Raw genomic sequence first — 19,844 nt, 5'->3', positions numbered from 1 at the left:
CAGCCCCCTGGCTGCCTTTGGCCCCTGCAACACTATCTCTCACTGCTCTGACAAAATGTCATTTCTGAGGAAGGCAGGCACACAGACCCAAAAGGAATGGGTGCCGGGGGGGAGGCCAGGATGAGATATTTGTGAGTGGGTTTGTTCTGATGTAGCAAAAACTCTCTCGTTGCTGTGGGCTGGGAAGTGGCTGACTGGCTGCGTGGTCAGAGTTTGCAAAGCTTTTGCAGATCCTTTTGCTAGAGGGGCTTTAAAAGCTGCAAGCGCTCAGCAGTTCCTATCAGCTGGGATTTTTTTCCTCCAGATTGAATCCTGTCAGGGTTTTACTGGCTCATCTGTTCCCAGAATGACACCATGTCCCCTCACCTGAGCAGCACGGCCTTGCCACCCACGGTACTCCCTGCTACCAGACGGCTCCCGGAAGGAATTCTTCACCAGCCCTATTTTTTGTCCCCTGAACCCCTCTCCTGACTCTCTCAAAACCCTCTGGTTTCTCCCAGAATTTGGAGCCAAGCCCATCAGGGACAAAGGAATGCTGGGACCTTGTTTGGATCTCAGATTTGGTGGTTTGCTCCCCTTCCTGGTGTCATGGTTTGAAGCATTTTCGAAGGAGCCCCCGAAAAGCAAGGACAGTGTGGAGAGGCTGATGCCCAGAGGCGATGCGGTGTGTCTGGGAAACCAGAGGGGACCCTGCCTGCAAGTTCCCATTGCCCCCAACCCCATTCCTATCCCTATGAGCCCCTGGCCCTTCTTCGCCAGTGCCTGTATCCTCAGAGCCCTCTCAGGGAGCCTCACCCGCCAGCCTCTGGGCGTTTGGCTTCCCGTCTTTTGTTTGGTCACCATGGGCCCTGCCACTGCCAACTCAGGCAAACAGAGCTTGGGCCAGCCCTGGGCTGCCCAGCCTCCCGGACGCATTGCACACTGCTCTGTGTCAGCAGAAAAAGTGTACATGACAAGTGGCATACTAGAGCGCCCTCTCCCCCCAGGCCTAGCTACAAAGCCTCCATGCCCTGCTGAGCCCTGCCCACCGGGCCCAGCGTACTCTCCGTACTCTCCGCTCCGCCAGCAGTGTTTCAGGAATCCTGAGGTGCAGCTCAGGTGGCTCTCGGTGACGTCATGGGAAGTGTTCTGGGTCGGTTCCCTTTGCCTCCCTGCCTCCACCTCCTTCCCAGACTTGCCGAGGATGTTGCCTCCAAGCCCCTCCCAGCTCCCAAAATACCAACCCTGCCTCCTGGCCCTGCCAGAAAACGCTTAGCACATTAGCGGGTTTAGCTGCCACAGTGGCAGTCAGTTGGGAGGCTGCAGAGGCACATAGATTTCATTCTGGAATTCTTTCCAGCTCCTCGCTATTTTGACAACACTGGGCAATGCTGTTACCAGGAACCTGCCCTGCCTGTGGGATGGGAGAGGCTGGGGGCCGGGGGTGGGGATGGGAAAAAGGTAAGCGGGGCTGGTGGGAGCAGCCTCAGGGTAAGGGACTATGAGAGAAGGTGGGGGACTACACTGGTATCTCATGGTGCTGCAGCCACTTTGGTCTTTAACTTGGTCTTTAACATGGCTGGCCTCCCTCCTTGCCTCCTGGAGCTCACTTGGGGCAGATCTTAGATACAAGAGACCTCAGTGCAGGGGCTTCTGTTTGAAGGAGGCAAGAGGTTCCAAGACGGCAGGAGAGGCAGCAAGACAGGCTGAAAGAAAACAGCCACACCAATGTTGTCTTGGACTCAAGACTTTACTGCAGCTCCCTCTCTGCCGCTCCAGGGCTGGGTGCCCTGGAGCAAGCCACCAACTCTCCAAAACTCAGTGTTCTCATCTGCAGAATGGGAGTAACCTACAGCTTGCCCTTCCCATCTCAATGTGAGATGGGGGGATCTACAAGAGACAATATATGTGAAAGTGTTTTGCAAAGTGTAAAGTGACTAACATTTGTGTGCCTAGGAGCTCTGGAAGGCAGGGCCTATGTCTTGTTTATATTTGAATTCCTCTATCATGTCTGGTTTATTGGGTAGAAAAATAAATGTGGAGACTTTTTGGAAATTTCTGACTTGCCTCATTGGTGATCGGTGTGGTGAAGGATAGTAAGGTTCTGGGTGTATTAGTTTGTTAGGGTGGCTGTAAGTGCCACAGACTGGGTAACTTCACAGAAATTTATTTTATCATAGTCTGGAGGCTAAAAGTCCAAGATCAAGGTGTTGGCAAGGTTGGTTCCTTCTGAGGGCTGTGAGGAAGAATCTGTTCCAGGCCTCTCTGCTGGCTTCTGGGGCTTGGCTGGCAGTCTTATCTTTGGCATTCCTTGCTTTGTAGGCACATCACCCCAATCTCTTCCTTCATGGGGCAAACTTCCCTTTTTTATAAGGACACTAATTGATATGATTTGAATGTTTGTCCCCTGCAAAGCTCATGCTGAAATGTGATTCCCAATGTTGGAGGTGAGGCCTGGTGGGAGATTATTAGACCATGAGGGTGGATCTCTCACGAATGGCTTAGCACCGTCCACTTGGTGATGAGTGAAGTCTCACCCAGTTAGTTCACACAAGATCTGGTTGTTTGAAAGTCTGGGACTTCCCACCCTTGCTGCCTTGGTCTTGCTCTCACCATGTGACACGCCTGCTCTCCTTTTCACCTTCCGCCATGATTGTAGCTTCCTGAAGCCTCACCAGAAGCAGATGCCGGCACCGTGGTTGCTCTACAGCCTGCAGAACTGTGAAATATACCTCTTTTCTTTACAAATTACCAAGTCTTAGGCATTCCTTTATAGTAATACAAATGGACTAACTCACTAGTCCTGTAAGATTAGGGCTCACTCTATTCCAGTGTGACTTCATCTTGACTAACTATATCTGCAATGATTCTGTTTCCAGCAATGACAGTCTGGGGTCTTCTGAGCCCAGGGCCCAGCTCCAGGATCGGGAAGGTCAAGGCAGTGTGCCAGGCCTGGCTGAGAATAGAGAGTTCTTCTGATGAAACGTGATGTGGGTGCTTGCTGGGTGGGGGACCCTATTTTCTACTGCCATTCTTGGATTTGGAGGCAGATCTTTGTTTCTTAGAGTTATTCTTTTCCCTTTCTGAGTAGTTCCTGTGAAGTAGAGTCATGCCATTTGTGTGTGAGACCCAGCTGCTGCACCAGTTCTAACTCTTCACCCCCTTCTTTTTCATGCCCCTCTTTCCCTTCAAGTCACTAACCCCACACACGCCCACCTTCCTCTGCAGCCCGGAAGCTCGGTACACATTTGCTGACGTATTAGAACACACCCTGGCATGAATGTGATTCACATTCTCCGCCCGTCTCTTCCTTCCTCTGTGTCCTGGACCGCAGGCCCTTGCAGTGCATATCTCTGACAGGGGAACCCCCACTATAGGTGTGCTCCCATTTAGCCTGGGTTCAGGCACATCAATGAGCATGTTCTGAGTTGGAGGGATGGGGCGGGTATGTTGCTGGACCACAGCACTGGGATGTTGTGGGAGGGCACGGAGGTGTCTCAGCACTCCGCTGCCCTCTGTATCTGAGGCTTCATTGCCCTTATTCGCATCTTCCCTATGAAATGCTCCAGTTTAGTAAGGGATTGCTATGGAAGAAGGCATTTGTACAAGTCACCCCTGAATAGTAAGAGGGGATCTTCTCTTATAGATTCTCAACATGTACAGGCACAGTGCTAAGTGCTTTCCATCCTTTTTCTCATGTATTTCTCTAAATAACCCCAAGAAGCAGACGCTTTTATATCCCCATTTCTCAGATGGGCAGTTGAGGGTTTGAAAGGAGATGTAAACTGCCCAGAGTCATTCAGCTAGTGAGGGGACTCAAGCACTTGCTTCTAGAACCTCTAGTTCCACCCTCTCATCCACAGGGCGCTCAAGGGGTGGTCAGTGGCCGTTTGCATTGGTATTCCCTGGAGAGCTAAGTGAAAAGTTGGGTTCTTGGGTCTCCTCCTGATCTATGGAATCATAAGAGATTGGGGTGGGACCCAGGAACCAGCTCCCAGTGACAAGCAGGGCTGAGAATCACTGCCTGTGGAGCCCAGTGCCACCTTCCCTTTCTCTTCCACCAGGCGCCGAGGACCTGCCATCAGCCACATGCAGGGTTCTGAAAGGAAGGGCAGGTGTGACCAGGCCTCCCCATGCACTTCTTTCCTCCCTGGTGTAGTGGCCTCAGGAGTGCTGGTGGATGGGGAGCCATCATGCCTGCACATAAGTTGGGAGAGGGTGGCTTGTGTGGCCGTGCTGACCTGCCGACTTCTCACTCTTTCTGGTAACCCCCATGCCCTTCACCGGTGCCATGTTCCCCAAGGTCCTAGATGATGGAGGGACCAGGCCTGGTGTTGGCAGGCAGTGGCCAGGGCCAGGCAGCCCAAGCCCTGTGTGACGATGATGTGGGAGTGTCTGTCTGTGTTGCTGTAATGGAATACCAGGAACTGGATCATTTATAAAGAAAAGAGATTTATTTAGCTTATGGTTCTGCAGGCTGAGAAGTTCAAGGGCATGGCCCTGTCCTCTGGCGAGGGCTTTCCTTCTGCATCACAACATGGCAGGGAAGGTCAAAGGGAAAGTAGACACGTGTGAAGATGGGGAAACCCAAGGGGGCCCTGGTGTTTTAACAACCAACTCTCCAGGGAACTAATTCATTCCTGTGAGAACAAATCCAGTCTTATGAGAGTATGAATATTAGAGCTACAAGGCACTGCCAAGTTAATCTTGTCTAGAGGGCCAGATGAGCAAACAGAGGCTCAGAGAGGTAAAATCACTTGCCTGGGTTCGCACAGCAGGTAGGTAGTATGGTTGGAGCTAGAACCCAAATTAGTAGGATTGCTCCTAGACTCCTAAGAATGCCAAAATCCAAACCATAGCTTCTGAAAACAGATGTCCTTACATGCCCGGAGACCTTTGGCTGGTTTCCTGGTAGAAGAAGCTGTTCAGACCCCTCTCTCTTTCCGGTTCCCTGCTGCTTTGTGCTACTGGAGGGAAGCAACAAGCTGGTTTTTCTCCTCCCAGAATAGGAGGCATCCCTGAAAATGTTGGCCTGGATTTCCAGGCTGACTTTCTAAACACTACCTCATCCTAAGAGTAAATGGCGAACTATTTTCACACACTATTAAAATTTTAATTTGGAAGACTCCTGTCCTTGGAATGCAAAGTTCGCCAGGCATTTTACGTCCTGCAAGCTGAGGTAGTTACTAGAACCTTCTTGCGGGTCCTGCTTGTAAGTCCCACTTGTAGTATTACACCAAGGACTGGTGGGATTTGGACAGCAAAGTGACTCTTACTATTTGAGTTCGAAATGTCCTGCTTGTTTTAAAATGTTCACTCAGTTAAGGTTTCTTCTTCTTCCCTGTCCCTGCTCCCACTCCTTCAGAGCAGGATGTTTGGATGCTGTAGTGGGAGCTGGTGGTGAAAAATTAAAGTTATTAATGTGACCATCCATCAGATGGTCCTACATTTCACCTCGGTTCTGCTGGTCTCCAGCCCTGACCCTTACTCCATTTCTCTCTTCCTGCTTCCAGACCTCCAGTCCATCTTTGATCCTTCCCTTTCCTAGTTCTCAGTCCATCCCTGACCTCTACCCCATTCCTAACTCCCACCTTATCCTTACCCCATCTCTGAGCTTATCTTTTCCCATCCATCAGGTCAGGCTGGGGGTGACCCTCAGGGAGGGAGGGAGGGCATTTGTTTCTCACATTACTTGTTGTTGTTGTTGTTGTTGTTTTAGAGACAGGTTCTTGCTCTGTCGCCCAGGCTGGAATGCAGTGGCGTGATCATAACTCACTGCAGCCTCCAACTCCAGGGCTCAAGTGATCTTCCTGCCTCAGCCTCCTGAGTAGCTAGGACTATGTATGTGCCACCAAGCCTGGCTAATTTTTAAATTTGTTGTAGAGATGGGGTCTTCCTATGTTGACCAGGCTGGTCTTGGTCAACAAAGCAAAACCCTGTCTCTTGGCGGTACCTTGTAGCTCTAATATTCATACTCTTGTAAGACTGGATTTGTTCTGGCAGGAATGGATTAGTTCACTGGAGAGTTGGTTGTTAAAAACTGGCCTCAAGAGATCCTCCTATCATCCTCTAGCCTTGGCCTCCCCAAGTTCTGGGATTACAGGCGTGAGCCAACTGTACCCAGCTTACCTGGTATTTTTTTAAAAACTGAAAGTTTAGTGGTTTGTTTTTTAGGTGTTGTCAAAGGGCCCTCTGTCAAAACTAGCCGAGTCAAAGGGGCAGTATCAGAGTTATGCTGGAGTCAGTATCATCACAGGCCTTTAACCTGTCAATAATAGTAATAATAATAATAATGTATTTATTGAGCCTCTGCCACATATTAAACAGTGCTAGGCACATTTCCTAGTGTTAATTCATCAAATCTTCACAATAATCCTAAGAAATAGGTGCTTCAATTCTCATTTTATTGATGGGAAAACAGAAACAAATATTTTAAGGAGTTTGCCCAAGGGCATAAGTAAGACATTACAGAATTACTAAGCGACACAAGCTTATTTAGTTTGTGTCCTGAATAGGTGAAATGTTTGCTTCAAGGTCCCTAGATATCTACCCTGTGGGCCTGCTTTGAGGTTTCAGGGTGGACTGGTGGTGGGCTCTGCAGTACCCAAGGTGAGAGAAAACTCACCTCCCTGACCCTGCGGGGTAGGGCAGCCCTCTCCAGGGCCATGCTAGAAATAAACCCAGGAACAGTTTTCAAATGGGCAGACTCTCCTGGGGAATGGAGGGGGCAGAGATGAGGTTTCCAGGATCAGGTAAACAATTGGTGCTGAATTACTCCCTGATCTTGCTGCATTTCAACAAATATTTAAGCACCGAGTAATATGGAGTCTACAAAGAGATCAGTCCGTTGGAAGCCCTCCAGGAGCCCACCACTTAGAAGAGACCGACAAAATGAACTCTGCTGTAAGGTAGGCAAGCGAAGTGCGAAGGGAGAGTGGGCAGGGAGGGGAGAACTAGGGGTGGGAAGGACATAAAAAAGCATGTCGAATTCCAGGAGCACTTGGTTGCACTTCCATTAGAGGTTTTCCACATTTTCAGGATAGTGTTGGTTGCAAGAATAGGTTCTTTCGCCCAGTGCGGGTGGGGAAAAAAGGATTACGATATAAAGTGTTTTGCAAAGTTTGCAGAGTTGAATTTTGTTATTACAAGAGGTAATGAGTGTGGAGGTGCTTTGAGTCTTTGAAAGCCCTTTGCTGATGTGAGAGTTGGAGCCATAAGAGCGGAGTGTGGAGAGATGAGCAGAGGACTAAGGACTGGGTCTTATTGCCAAATCCCCACTGCCTAGCAGGGGCTCAGGGAACTTTTGGGGAGGAACTAAATGAATGAGTAGAATCAAGGCTCTGAGTGTTTCAAGGAGCGCATGGCTAATACTGTCATACGTTGGTTGAGCAGCAGGACCACCCACGGGTGGCCACTGGATTTGGCAAGAAGGAAGAAATTAGTCCCTATGAAAAAGTAGCATCTGAGGAAGGATGGCTAAGAGCTGAGGGGAACGGGTAGAGGGGAGGATCATGTATTTGAGGAGCTTTTCAGTAAACGTTAAGGAATGGAGTTAGACATTGCTAGATAGGCCCTTTGATGATTTAAAGGAATTGTCTCGAAGACCCTCTGTTATGTTTCACCAGGAAGGTGAAGGGAAAGGAGGCCAAGGAGTTTCAAGGCTGAAGGTGCCTGAGAATGAAGGAAGAAGCCCTGACTGGATCCCAGAAGAGGTGGAACCCATGGGACCACAATTCAAGAGGAAGGTCCCCATTAGAGAGAGCCCTCAGAAACTAGAGATGTGCTAGGAAACACCCATCCTACTTTTCACACCTTTGTTATTTTATTTATTTATTTTTGAGACAGAGTCTTGCTCTGTCACCCAGGTAGAGTGCAGTGGCACAATCTCAACTCACTGCAACCTCCGCCTCCCAGGTTCAAGCGATTCTAATACCCAGGCCTCCCAAGTAGCTGAGATTACAGGCGCCCATTACAATGTCCAACTAATTTTTGTATTTTTAGTAGAGACGGGATTTCACCTTGTTGGCCAGGCTGGTCTTGAACTCCTGACCTGAAGTGATCTGCCCACCTCGGCCTCCCAAAGTGCTGGAATTACAGGTGTGAGCCACCGCGCCTGGCCATACTCTTGCTCTGACCCTGTGCGTGCATGGCATGCTGTGACTGTTCCATTTGCCCTGGGGGTTTGGGCTTCCATGCAGTTTTTTTTTTTTTGGAGGTAGAGTTTCACTCTTGTTGCCCAGGCTGGAGTGCAATGGCGTGATCTCAGATCACCGCAACCTCTGCTTCCTGGGTTCAAGTGATTCTCCTACCTCAGCCTCCTGAGTAGCTGGGATTACAGTTACCTGCCACCATGCCCGGCTAATTTTGTATTTTTAGTAGAGACAGGGTTTCTCCATGTTGGTCAGGCTGGTCTCAAACTCCCGACCTCAGGTGATCTGCCCACCTCGCCCTCCCAAAGTGCTGGGATTACAGGTGTGAGCCACTGTGCCCAGCCTTCTGTGCAGTTTTAGAAGCTGCAGGTTTCCCCCTTCTTCAGTCATGGCCTGTATAGGCAGGTCCTGTGGGAGGCTGGGGCTGCACCTTGTATTTAGAAGTGTGTGTGTGTCTGTGTGTTTGTGTGTGTGTGTGTGTCCAGGGCTGTGGGACTCCCTCGTTTTACACAGTAGGAAGCTGAAGCTCCGAGAGGAAAGTGACTACTGCTTTGTTTTTTCCTTCTGTTGCTAGCTTGATGCCTAGCATGTGGCAGATAGGGAACACATACCTCTTGAATAAATCAAGGAAACAGCTAGTTAGTGGCTGTGATATAAGAATTCAGATATTCTGATTTCTTGTCTCTGTCTTCCATGACACCTCCCAGGACTCAGCCTATTTTATACCAACGTCCCTGGAAAGTAGTTTCACAGGAGTAGTGAGAAGGAATCTCTATTAATGAAATGATTTCACTCAGTTGAATCAGATTCAACTACCTTTGAGGGCTCTATGTGTCATACCCTAGCAGTGGCACTTTCTCGTGCTCACGACCTCCTCTACTTTCTGCCTCCTTATTGGGAAAAAAAACAAAAACACAAACAAACCCAACCTCTCAGCCCCTTCCCCCAATACTCTATCAATTCCATGAAAGAAGGCCTTGTGCTTAAATAATCATGTGAAAAGGAAAAAATCCCACCCTCATATGAATGTGAAAGGGCACTGGCTTAGGCAGCTTTCAGTCTTTATCTGCGTTAGAGATTTTGTGGATTGTTGTTGTTTTTGTTGTTGTTTGCTCCTGGTGGGGTGGTATCCAGTATTCCAGTGTTCACATAATGCCTTGACTTCGCCATCGCTTCTCCTAGGATAATTATAGGTTGGCATAATGTACCTATTGTTCTATTCCACAAAGAAGCACTGTCACAGGATGATGGGATGGGGCTGGCAGGAGGCACGCAGTGTGGATCTGGAAGGGGGGAATCTTTGTCTGCGTGTGTGTGTGTGTGTGTGTGTGTGTGTGTGTGTGTGTGTGTGTCCTGGAAAGCAGTGCTGGATCTTGAGTTATTTTTCCTATTCTGTTCTTTGGATTCCTACCCACTCATCCCTTATTTCCCCAGTCATTTGGTCCTCATTGTCCTCTCCAAGTTCTTGTTTCTTGGCGTCTCTGCACCCTTCCCTTCTGGGGTTATCACCATGACTGGGCATGGTGGCTTCAACCATAGATGCTGAGCTAGGGTGTTGGAGGTAGCGTTTAAAATTCTTTCAGTGAAGTTATTTGCCTGTGTATGACAGGCTCAAGGGCTCACCACATTGCCAATGACCTCACAGGCCATCCAGGCCTAGCCCTTTCACTGCACATGTTTGTGTTTCTTATTTGAGTTGTTCAGAGCCTTTTGCGTTACAAAGCTCTTGACACTTTCTGGGACATATTGGAGAATGTAGGCATTCATTCATGTGTTCACGCATTCATTCAGTCTTCCTACGATCATCGGATGCTCACTCTGAGGCTAGTCCTGGACTAGATGGACTAGTCCATAGAGATGAGGAAAACAAAAGACAGCATTCATACCCTTGTGGAGCTTCCACTCCAGTTGCCCACCTAGGCAGGTCAAAGATCTTCAAGTACTGTTTTGTCCATGTGACCTCTATGGGATCCAGGCTGGGTGACACGTTGGGCTTGTGTCTTGTATCTAAAAATCAGAACTAGGTTTTCATGGCCCATTGCCAGCCATCACCAGGCAACAACCTCTTTTTTTGTAGTGAGATTTCCCTTGGAGTGTTTTGTGGTAATATCTGTTTCTTGTTTCTCCCTCTCCCCAGACTCTTCTGCACTGGGGCTGATAGTCACGCTTAGACATGTTTTTGACTCCAGCCATAAGCAGCTTTTTTGACTAAGAACCATTGGCGTCTGAATGGGATGACTACCTCCATGCCTATTGGCCTTGGAAGCCACGGTCTTCACACTTCACCCTGAGAGAGAGGCAGTGGCAGGTTTCATTTGAAGCCAGGGGACAGAAAGGCCACTGGATGAGATTCTATGGACACAAACTTAGGAAGAGAGGAGGACTTTTCTATCCTTGGAAGGGGCCTGCTTCAGTTGTGCTGCCTAGGAAGGCACATGTTATACTAAAATATTATTTGTTCTCCATCTGACACTTGCATTTAACTGGGAGTCCTGTATTTTATCTGTCAATGTGACAAGGGGCGGGTAGGTGGAGAGGTGGGCACAGGTGGAGAGGTAGGCAGTGGGGCAGGGGCCCTGGACCTCCATGGGGGTGATGATGGCAGGATGTGGTCATTGAAGTGCTGAGGTTCTGAAGGGTGGCGTGATAGCTGCCCATGTCCAGGCTATCACATCGAGACAGGCTAGAAGGGAGATCAAAGATCTCTGCCATTCATGGTCTTTGGAGAATTCACCGTGAGGAATAGCACTCACATGAGCTAAGGGAAAAGAACAGTCTTTAGCCTTGCTTCCCATCCACTTTGTATCTGAAAATATACAAATGTATTCCCTTTGTGTATATTTAAAAAAGAATCCAAATTCTTTTCTCCTGGTAAGTTAAAACAAACATTTCCAGGGCTGGAAATCCATGTACTCAGGAACTATCAAAAATGTGTCAGTTCTGGGCTGTTGGGGGCATGTGCCTTGAGGTATGTGCTCACAGGAGGGGCTGGGGGCTCAGAAGCTTTGCTCCCACTCCCAGGAGCTAATTTTGAGCTTTGATATCTATGTGACTCTCAAGAGCATGCATGTGGGACCTGGCAGGCCCTTGGAGATTAGCCAGTCTGAGAGACAGGGACTCACAGCACTTAGGAGCTGTGTGAAGGGTTCTCTCTTGACAGATGAGCAAACTGGAGCCCAAAACACTTAGCGATGGGCTTCAGGGCCCCCGAGGCAACAGAACAGGGTGAGAACATGGGTCTCCTGACTCCAGGTTGTGTACAGTTCGCCATGACTCTGCACTCGCTGGTCCTGTGGCCTCTCTCAAATATAAGCATGTTGAGGGCAGAAACCAGGAGTCCCATTTGTCTCGTAGTGTTCAGGTGGTGGGGGTAGGGGGAGCTGTGATGGCCCTGCACACCCAGCTGTCCCTGTGTGAGCATTTGCTTGCTCTTGTCACTCACATGGTGCCACTTGTTGGTGCCACTCTCTTTGCTACTCAGCAGGAATTTGTTTTCCATGGCTTATCCCATGCCTTTGTTTTCTTGGCTCTGAGTCACCCCAAAGGTGGATGCCTGGCAGGGGTGGTATCAATCCCCAAGGATAAGTCCCTAAGAATCTAGTTCTTCCTACCTCTTGGCAGCTAGCCTTCTTTGATGTCCTTGGGGTGTTTTATGTGAAACTCTATTTTCTCCTACTGTCCTACACCTTCAGTCCCTGGCTGTAAGAGACATGAGATGAAAGGTCCTCCCGTGTTGTGTCTTGTGCCTTGTGTTCAGGACAGCATATCCAAGTGTGTATGGGCCTTGTCCAGGCACCATTTAGTATGGGGCTATTTTCCTGATCTGTCGCCACTGGACACCCATATCCTGAGCAAAGTGAGAGCTGAACCCACCTGGCTACAGTGTCACTCCTTGGCAGTCCCTGGAAGAATTCTTCCACTCAGAACTTTGTGATGACTTCACAAAGACAACAAAAGGAGGAAAGTGATTCATAGGGGCATGAACGATATGCAGTTTTCTAAGCAATTGCCTGAACTGTGAGCATATAAACCATGGTGAAGAGTGCACAGTGTGGTTCTGTATGACTCACCAGTTACCTCCTTGAGGTCATGATGATGCCTTCAGCCAGGTGGCTGAGGGACAGGCCTTGTCCTGGCTCGGACTCTGGTCTCTATTGCTGCTATGTTTTTATTTTTTTCTCAGTTCTTTGAGCCACTTAGTGTCCCTCACCAGCCATCCTGGGGTCCTCACATCCTTGTTTCAAGACCAGAGCCTCACGGATACATTTGTGGATATTGGCCTGCAATTCTTCCATGTCCAGACACCAAAACCCAGTGCCTGCATCCTCTGTAGCTTCTTCTGTTTCTGTGGCTGCCTGCCCAGATCCAAGTAGATGCTGGGGATTGAGCGAGACTGCCTTTTAGGGCCAGCTTTTCACAGCTACCTGTGAATGCCAGGACTGGCTTCTCTTTGTACTGCACTATTGGTAAGGTGGTGTTAACCACTGTGGCTTGAGAGGGAGGAGCACAACTACAGGGTGAGTGCTACCCAGAGAGTCATCTCCCGTTATTCCAGACACCCAAAACCATACAGAAGTAAGCCTATAGTTATCTCCTTTCCTATATTGTCAGATGGCCCCCTGACTGCAGTGGGCTGCCGTTTTAATTCTTTAGTTGTATCATGCCTATTTGTGTGTAGGTTCAACTTGCAACTACATAACTGCTTGCTTGTCTGCCTATCCATCTATGCATCCATCCCTGCATCCACCCATGCATCCACTCATGCATCCACCCATGCACCCATCCATGCATCCACCCATGCATCTATCCATCCATCCATTCCTCCATGCATCCGTCCATTCATGCATCCATCCATGCATCCGTTCATCCATGCATCCATCCATGCATCCATCTGTGCATCCATGCATCCATCTGTGCATGCATGCATTCATTCATGCACACATCCATCCATCCATGCATGCATGCATCCATGCATCCATACATCCATCTGTGCATCCATCCATCCATGCAACCATCCATCCATCCATGCATCCATCCATCCATCCAAGCATCCATGCATCCATGTGTCCATCCATCCATCCATGCATCCATGCATCCATCCATGTGTCCGTCCATCCATCCATCCATCCATCCATCCATCCATCCATCCATCCATTTATCTATTTATCCATCTAATAAGGGATGGTAAACTTATGTATTTAAAGGGACCAGGCAGGTAAAGTAAATGAGGAAATGGGCTTGACAAAGACAATAAGGAGTGGTGGGGGCCGTGGTGAGCTGCCATCTGTAGCATTCCCTGGCTAGAATTTCCTTTCAGGTTTGATGTGTGGCATCTGACAGCCACAGTGAACCATCCTTATTTCAAAAGCATTTGAGTTCAAGCAGCCTAGAGGTATTTGGATGGGGCCCCTGGGTTCTTCCTCAGCCTTATTAGAGTCTGTTGGTAACATCAAATGGTGGGATGTGCATCAGGCAGGGCTTTTTAAGGTTGCAAATGGCAAGAAACTCAACTCATAGTGCTTAAGCACACAGAGGAATGTGTGGGCTCATGTAACTAACAGCTCGTGAGTGTATCTTCTTCACTCGTGACTCGGTCTAGGGGCTCAGCAAGGTCCTCTTGACTCCCTCCATCTCTCCTTCATCTCTAAACTCCACTTTTCTTTACATTGGCATCCTTTGTAAACAGGCCTGCTTGATGGGTGGCTCCCAGCTGCTTCAGGTATATATTGTTATCTGCCTTTCCATACTAAGAGAAAGAAAGTGCCTCTTTCCCCCAGAAGTTCCAGGATTGACTCTAATTTGCCTGCCTCAGACCACATTTTCACCCTTGAACTGATCACTCTTGAACGGATCACTAAGGGATGTGGGTCTCTTTCTCATATATATATATATACATATATGATCTTGCTCTGTTGCCCAGGTTGGAGTGCTGTGGTGCAATCGTGGCTCACTGGGCTCAAGCGATCCTCTTACCTCAGCCTCTAGAGTAGCTGGGACTACAGGTGTGCATCACCATGCCTGGCCAATTTTTGTAGAGACAAGGTCTCACTATGTTACCCAGGCTGGTCTTGAACTCCTGGCCTCAAATAATCCTCCTTCCTCAGCCTCCCAAAGTGCTAGGATTATAGGTGTGAGTCACCATGGCTGGCTAGAACATGGCCGGTTTTCTTATTGGCCAGGCCTAGTCACAAGCCTGTCTCTGAAGTTGGAGGGTAGAGTGGGGTTGATTTTACACAACTGATAGTGAGGGAGAGGTAGAAAATGGAGGTATTGTTACTAGAAGGAGGTAGAATGGTATCTGGGCAGGCAGACAACCTATGTCCACCATAGGGAGGATGGGTTGATGGAAGGATGGAGGTATTACAATTGCACTGTCAAGGAAGACCCAGAGCCCTGAGCACGGCCAGTGTTGCCCATCCATTCAGCCCCACCTGCCCAGTGGTTTGAGTTGCTGTCCCTGATGTCTTCTGTCCAGCCCCATCATTCATGGGATGGGGAGAATGCACTGCCTCAGGACACAGGCTACCTTCTGCTGCCTCCTGCACACTCCTGAGATGCTTGGGTATGAGGACACCTGATGTTTACTCCAGAACTGTGACTTCCAAAGGTTTCGGGAGCTTTAGGAGAGGGCAGTAAGCCCTGATATGCCTGGAGCACCTTGTGAACTTCCAACCTGGTTCTGCCATTGTGGAAGGAGTTGCCAAGATGAAGGATTTCCATTTAGCAGTGCCAGACCTGGGCTCGGAGCTCAGCTACACTGATCTCAAGACTTGGCCCAAGGCAGGAACTGAGGTTGTGGAAGAGCCATACTTGGAGTGTGGAGCTTCTGACTTCCCATACTGGGCAGAAGTCTCTGGAAAGGGAAAGGGATCTGGCTGCATCCTTAGCAGCTGGCAGCCCCTGCTGCAGCCAACTAGGGACCCCGAGTTCTCCATGGGAACTCTGGAGCTAGAGGATACATCTTGCAGGTATCATGTCTGACCTTGGTCACATGTAATCCTCAGTGCCAGAAATACCAGCTCTCTTTGGATTGAGCAATAGTTTTCTCCACTATCAAGGATAATTTTAACCATTTCCTATCTTGGTTTCATACATGTATGTATGTATGTATGTTGAAAATATGGCTACTGGGATACAGAATATTAAAAGGAAGACAGCAAAAGGATAAATGGGGCTCTTAAGAGGATATATTATAAAAACACTAGAAACCATCAAAAAGTAAAGTTCTGCTTATAGAGGAAGTAGAATCTTTTTTTTTTTTTTTTTTTTTTTTTTTTTGAGATGAAGGCTAGCTCTGTCTTCCCTGGCTAGAGTGCCGTGGTGCGATCCTGGCTCACTGCAACCTCCACCTCCCGGGTTCAATCAATTCTCCTGCCTCAGCCTCCTGAGTAGCTGGGATTACAGGCGCCTGCCACCACACCCAACTACTTTTGTATTTTTGGTGGAGACAGGGTTTCACCGTTTTAGCCAGGCTGGTCTTGAACTCCCGACCTCAGGTGATCCACCCACCTCAGACTCCCAAAGTGCTGGGATTACAGGCAAGAGCCACTGAGCCTGGCTGGAAGTAGAATCATTGACGGTAAAAAGTGCTCAGAGCCTTCCCATGCTGTCTTATTTGCTACAACAACCCTGTGAGGTTGACAGGGAAGGGTAATTTTTTAATATCTATTTTATAGACGTAGAAATGGTAATTAAGAGAATTAGCAAGGTCTCCCAGTTATTGGGAGAGTTGAGTCTAGAACTCGGATCTCTAAGCAACCAGTCTAGTTTTCGATCACCACATCCTACGTTGTATGTTCATGTGAAACTTTCTTTTCTATTTGACTAAACTTTGTGGAAAAGGATGTTGGCTAGGAAGAAAAAAGAAAATGGATTTTAAAATTAGGTAGCAGCCAACCCCATTTAAAAATATTCTTTAAGCTGAAGTATCTCAATAGAATTATGCGATCTTACATGATTTCAGTTTTCCAGCATATGACATTTATTTATTCACAGCTGTATTGATATATCAGTTCAATACTTTATTCATGAAGCGTTTACTGTGTAACTATTACATGCCAGGACTTTTATTGGCTGTTGAAGATATAAAGATGAATGAGACATTGACTCCTGCCTCTGTTAGTTTTGCAGCATACCAAAACACCATAAAGCTTAATGGCTTCAAATAGCAACCATTTATTTTGCTTACTATTCCGTGGGTCGGCAATTCGATTTGGGCTCAGCTAGCTGGTTCTTCTGATTTGGGCTGGTTAACCTATGTGTCTGCAGTCAGCTTGTCCTAGATGAATAGCTTCATCTAGGATAGCTTGTTTGTGTTCTGTGTCTGCTCATTCTCCAGCAGGCTAGCCCAAGCGTATTCATATGCTAAGCAACTAGGCAGGGTTCCCGGAGAGCAGAAGGGAAGCTTGCAAGGCCTCTTGAGGCCTGAGCTTGGAACTGGTGTAATCTAACTTCCACTGTATTCTGTTGGCCAAAGCAAGTCAATGAGTGTATCCTAGTAGACCCCTTAGCCACAGGAAGGTAGTTTTACTTAGTCTTCTATCCAGGTGCGATGCTTCGTCCTGTCTTCTTACTGGCTTGGCATTTCTTGTCACTTCCTCATGCCTCGCCTTACCCCATTGGGAAGACCTGCACACTCTCCTTCCTCCTTTTCTCTAAACCTCCCTACCTCTTGGGGTCCATCTTTATAAAATCGTCTGCGGTGATTCCAGACTCAACTATCGACAATGATAGTTGTAGCTTGCATTTACCACTCACAGGGTATTTGAGTTGGGAGTTGAAGATGAAAAAAACTATCCCTGGCCCCAAGAGGTCTACTTTCTAGGAAAATAGGAATAATAAACAGCACCTCATAGAGTTGTTATTAGGATTCAATGAATTAATGCACATACAATGTTTATTGTAGTGTCTGAGACATAGTACATGCTCTAGAAATCCAACATGCCAAAGGTTTTACATGCTATTTAACCCATGCTGTAGTCTTAAGAGGCAGATTTTCCTGTCTCCATTTATTTATTTATTTATTTAGTGATAAATAAATCTCACTCTGTAACCCAGGCTGGAGTGCAGTGGCATGATCTTGGCTTATTGTAACCTCCGCCTCCCGGGCTCAAGTGATTCTTCCACCTCAGCCTCCTGAGTAGCTGGGACCACAGGCCCATGCCACTATGCCTGGCTAATTTTTTGTATTTTTGGTAGAGATGGGGTTCTGCCATGTTGTCCAGGCTGGTCTCAAACTCCTGAGCTCAAGTGATCTGCCTGCCTCCGCCTTCTGGAATTACAGGCATGAGCCACTGCACCTGGCCTCTGCCTCCTTTTATAGATGGGGAAAGGGATGCTCAGATAAGTTACATACTTTCTTAAAGTCACCCAGCTAATTAGCAGATCAAATTCAAGTCTCATATATTCTAATATAGACCCAGTGTATATATATTTTAACTTCACCTGAGAGATTTCAGTAATGGAATCAAATGATTCATGTAAGATAAAGTCTTCGTTCCTTTGGTCCTAGCCTCAGTTTGTACATACACAGAATTGGAAGGCAGAAAGATTTGTGATAGAAATTGTTGACTGTAAGCTATAGCTCAAATTTATCACAACACAATTGAAAATAAAGTGCAATTGTTTATAAGAGAAAGACGTACAAGGGAATGGGGCCTGAGTTTGTGGAAGAGAGAAGTGTGCGGGCTTCACCTTTTCTTCTTCTTTCTGCGGAAAGTAAACTGAGATCCATGGTTCTGGACCATGTCCTGACAGGGAAATTTTGATCATGTCTCTAGATCTTTGGTTGTCTCTGCTGGGGCTCCCTGACGTCAGCATGAAAGGGTCAGTCTGCATTGGCCAAACAGCCCCTCTGATTCCTGGGACTTGACAGGGCCTGGTAGTATTTGCTGATAGCCAAGTACTTCACGTCAAACTGGTTTATTTAGTGACTGGGTCTGATAGAACCAAACTAATAGAATAACAGTACCGAGCAATTTCTTAGTTGCCATTTACTAAGCATTCACTGTGTGCCAGACATGGTGTGAAAGATTCTGCGTGCATTTTGTTCTTTATTCCTTAGGATACATCAACCCTACAATGTTGGGAAAATGGAAGTTCACACAGATGAGCTTCTGGTCTTGAATAGCTTCAGCTGGGACTGGTGGTGAAGCTTAGATTTGAACCCAGAGCGATGTGGTTCCAAATCCTATGCTCTTAGGCACCATCTGCCTTATATATATATATATATATATATTTTTTTTTTTTTTTTTTTGTCAAAAAGAGGACAGCTTCAATATTCCTGGGCTTAGGACATAACTGCGTTTCTTTCAATTCTTCACCATTGCTTTGACGGTATTCAAGTGTACCTTGCAGCAGCAGCAGAACACGCCTTTGGTAGATAGAAGCGTGACCTTACCCCCAAAGATGTCCATGTCCTAATCCTTGGAACCTATGAATATGTTACCTTACATGGTATGAGGGATTTTGCAGGTGTGATTAAGTTAAGGACTTTGAGATGAGGAGATTATCCTGGCTTATGTGGGTGAGTCCAGTGTAATCACAAGGGTCCTTGCAAGAGGGAGACAGGACGGTCAGAGTCAGAGCTGGAGATATGACATTGGAAGTGGAGGTAGAAGTGACACATGGGAGGAAGAGGCCACCAGCTGCTGGAAACTGGAAAAGTCAAGGAAGAAACTGCTCCCTTAGAGCTTCCAAAAGGAATACAGCCCTGCTGATGCCTGGATTTTTAGCCTTAGGACTCGTTTTGGATTTCTGACCTCTAGAACCGTAAAATCGTACATTTGTGTTTTCATAAACTACAAAGTTTGTAGTAATTTGTCTCAGCAGCAATAGAAAACCAACACAGCACCCTTCTACCTGTCCTGTGGAATATCCCAAAGTTCCAACCTGCTAAGGCTCCTCCTCCTTTGTGACCCAGTGCCTTTAAACAAAGGCAATGGATGCCCTTGACCCACTTCTGGGAGGATGTGTGCTGTGAGATAGGTTTCTGCTGCTGGGGATGGTTTGTCACGGAATCATCCCCACACTCTTGGCTGTGCTTCTGACTGCTGACCCCGCTGGCTTGAAGCTGACTGGTGAGATGGTGGTGGTGGGGCAATCTGTAGCAATGGCATTGAGCTATTTTATTTTTTCATGCATTCTGCTTCTGCTCATCTGTGTGGACAGAGAGGCCCCTGGAGTGGATAATACTGCCTGGGAGTTAACTCATGAGCTGGCTTTTTCTGGCACTGGTGGTGGCAATGAGTGGAGGGTAGGACCCCACATTGTGGTAATAACCACTAATATTTACTGATCACCCATAGTGAGGTCACCTCATTTGTTCTTGTCAGTGAAGCCATGAGAAGGGTCTTATTATCATACCCATTTTGCAGCTGAGGGTAGTGAAGCTCACAGAGTTCAACAGCTCAGACAGCAAGTAAGCAAGGAGCTGGGACTCAAACCTGGTGTCCTCATGCCAGTGCCCCAGCCTTTCACTGAAGCGCTTTGCTGCCTCCCACATGGGGCAGCATGGCATGGAATAGGCACTCCATGGATGTTGCCTGACTGGATGAATGTTAATGTTTACTGGCCATTTGGATAGGCCAGGAGCAGCTTCACGAACCTCCATCCAGAAGCAGCAAGGTGGGCTGGAGGGTGGCCAGAGAACCCAGCTGGCCAGCAAGGCATTTTCTCTTGAAGGTGCAAGGATCACATGGAGCTGGCATTGTTATT

General features: G+C 47.7%; 1 protein-coding gene across 4 annotated transcripts in view, besides 1 other annotated feature; it reads left to right on the top strand.

Annotated features, from left to right (window-relative positions):
• DPF3 (double PHD fingers 3) overlaps positions 1-19,844 on the top strand; it is a 285,068-nt gene that overhangs the window by 80,440 nt on the left and 184,784 nt on the right. The window lies entirely within an intron of this gene.
• Positions 2,649-3,848: an enhancer, noted in NCBI's record as "MED14-independent group 3 enhancer chr14:73276522-73277721 (GRCh37/hg19 assembly coordinates)". NCBI's record gives its function as "activates an origin of replication core promoter dependent on BRD2, BRD4, P300/CBP and CDK7 cofactors, and independent of MED14, by STARR-seq in HCT116 cells {active_cell/tissue: HCT116}" and the evidence as "EXISTENCE:reporter gene assay evidence [ECO:0000049][PMID:35650434]".

The sequence above is a fragment of the Homo sapiens genome, chromosome 14 (genome assembly GCF_000001405.40).
Source record: "Homo sapiens chromosome 14, GRCh38.p14 Primary Assembly".
NCBI classification, from domain to species: Eukaryota; Metazoa; Chordata; class Mammalia; order Primates; family Hominidae; genus Homo; species Homo sapiens.
The sequence above is the reverse complement of the archived record's forward strand: the minus strand, read 5'-3'. Positions and strand labels throughout refer to the sequence as shown.